The sequence below is a fragment of the Homo sapiens genome, chromosome 5 (genome assembly GCF_000001405.40).
Source record: "Homo sapiens chromosome 5, GRCh38.p14 Primary Assembly".
NCBI lineage: Eukaryota > Metazoa > Chordata > Mammalia > Primates > Hominidae > Homo > Homo sapiens.
In genome coordinates this window covers 27,048,224-27,050,101 of record NC_000005.10, presented here as the reverse complement: position 1 = coordinate 27,050,101, position 1,878 = coordinate 27,048,224, and the positions used below count along the sequence as shown (strand labels likewise).

Here is a 1,878-nt window from a genome sequence, read left to right as displayed (position 1 = left end):
GAAAATCAGACATTTGTGCCCAGAATATGCAATCTGATGTTCTTATATACAGCATGCTAGAAATAACATCTTATATACAGCTTATATACATCTTATATACAGCTTATATACATCTTATATACATGCTAGAAATAGCATCTTATATACAGCATGCTAGAAATAACAAAGGTGTCAGAGTAAAGCACACCAGTGTTCAGTCACACCTCTGCCCTGCAAGCTGTGAGATTTGGGTGTCACATTTGACCATTTCTGAGACTAAATTTCCTTATCTGTAGGGTAAGAAAATTTATGCATGCTTTGTATGTCATTGTGGGGATCCAAGTAGTTAAATTTAGAGGGTACCTACCGTAGTAACCATTGTAGTTAGGTTTCATAAAATGATAGCTTTTATTGTTAAAAAATAAAACCAATTATACTTTAAACAAAACAAAACAAAAACACTAGTATAGTCTAATTTTTCTCACTGTGTTTTGATATTTTAAGACCTGAAACTAATATGAAGTTACTAAGGTATTAAACTTCATACAAAATAGCTGAAACTATAAAACCAAGTGTTGACTAATATTATATTTCTTTTTAAGATGTGTTTGTAGTCGTTGTTACTTTAGCTTTGCCTGTTAAATTATTCTGCTGTATAGATAAGTTATATTTTACAAATAATGAGGTAATTGCAGACAGCTCATCTTTTAGAAAAAAAATTAGATACATATATTAACCAATTGACTAATTTACAAATTAGAAAGCCCCCTTTATGAGTCCCACTATATGCCAAGCAGGTAACATAAGTGCTGGTAATGTCACGATGTGTAAATGAGAAAATATTACAGTCTCCAAGGAACTTACAGTCTGATGGAGGAAGACGGACTTGTCATCAACAACAAACACAAAAGAGGCAGAACGAAATATAAGCCCAGTAGAAATATCTAAAGAGTAGTGGAAAAATAAGAGACGCCTCCATGCCTCCAGGGAGAAGGTGGCATTTACATTGCCTTCAAGGATTAAAAAAAATACAGATAACAGGACTCTTCTGGTAGAAATTTTATGTGAGTGCATGAAGGTGTTGGGGGGAAAAAAAACAAACAAGAAAACCAGGATATTTAGGGAAGTGTGAGCAATTCCATTTCCCATGAACACCGCATATTGAGATTGAAATTACTGGTATCTGAAACCTTCTGGGACCTCCAGATATCACATACTTACTGTCTCCTGAGCATAACAAGGGACTGGAACTGTAAATCTATTAGTTTAACTCACTAGCCTGTAGTTGTTTTCTGATCTATATGTATGTTGAAATCATTATGGGACCTATTGAAATTCCAAAGTCTGGGCTTTACTCAGCAGCCTAAGCTCAGATGATACTGTGTGACCAGGGCTGATAACCTCTGACCTCCTTAGGCCAGCCTGGGATGTATGCTAATATGCTGAGTAGACAGACAATAGGTAAGAGTCAAAAGCCTGTCCTTTTAGTTGATTTAAAAAGAAAACTTCTCAAGGTCACTTTCACTCTGCAGGATATAAAATGTACCTTTGGTGTCTTTAGAGAAGAAACTCAGTCTTTCTTGTCTGGTGCTTCAGTGCTTCCAGCAAAGTACTGTGTTCATGGAGTTATTCTTTATAGCTTTACTTATTTATGGAGATGATGTTACAGTCATGTTTAACTCAGAGCTTTCCATTTTTCAATCATTTTCTGGCTGTATACCAAATAATATATATATGTATATATATATATATGATATATAACATATCTTATATAATTATATTTATATATAAATATATTTGAAGTTTATATATGTGTAAGCAACTAAATATATTTAGTACAATGTGTACAATTTATAAAATATTTACTAAAATGATGTAATGTCTTGATATAGTGCATAT

General features: G+C 33.2%; 1 annotated feature.

Moving 5' to 3' along the window:
- Positions 1,273–1,473: a silencer, noted in NCBI's record as "peak5192 fragment used in MPRA reporter construct". NCBI's record gives its function as "represses an SCP1 promoter by STARR-seq MPRAs in K562 erythroleukemia cells {active_cell/tissue: K562}" and the evidence as "EXISTENCE:reporter gene assay evidence [ECO:0000049][PMID:32103011]".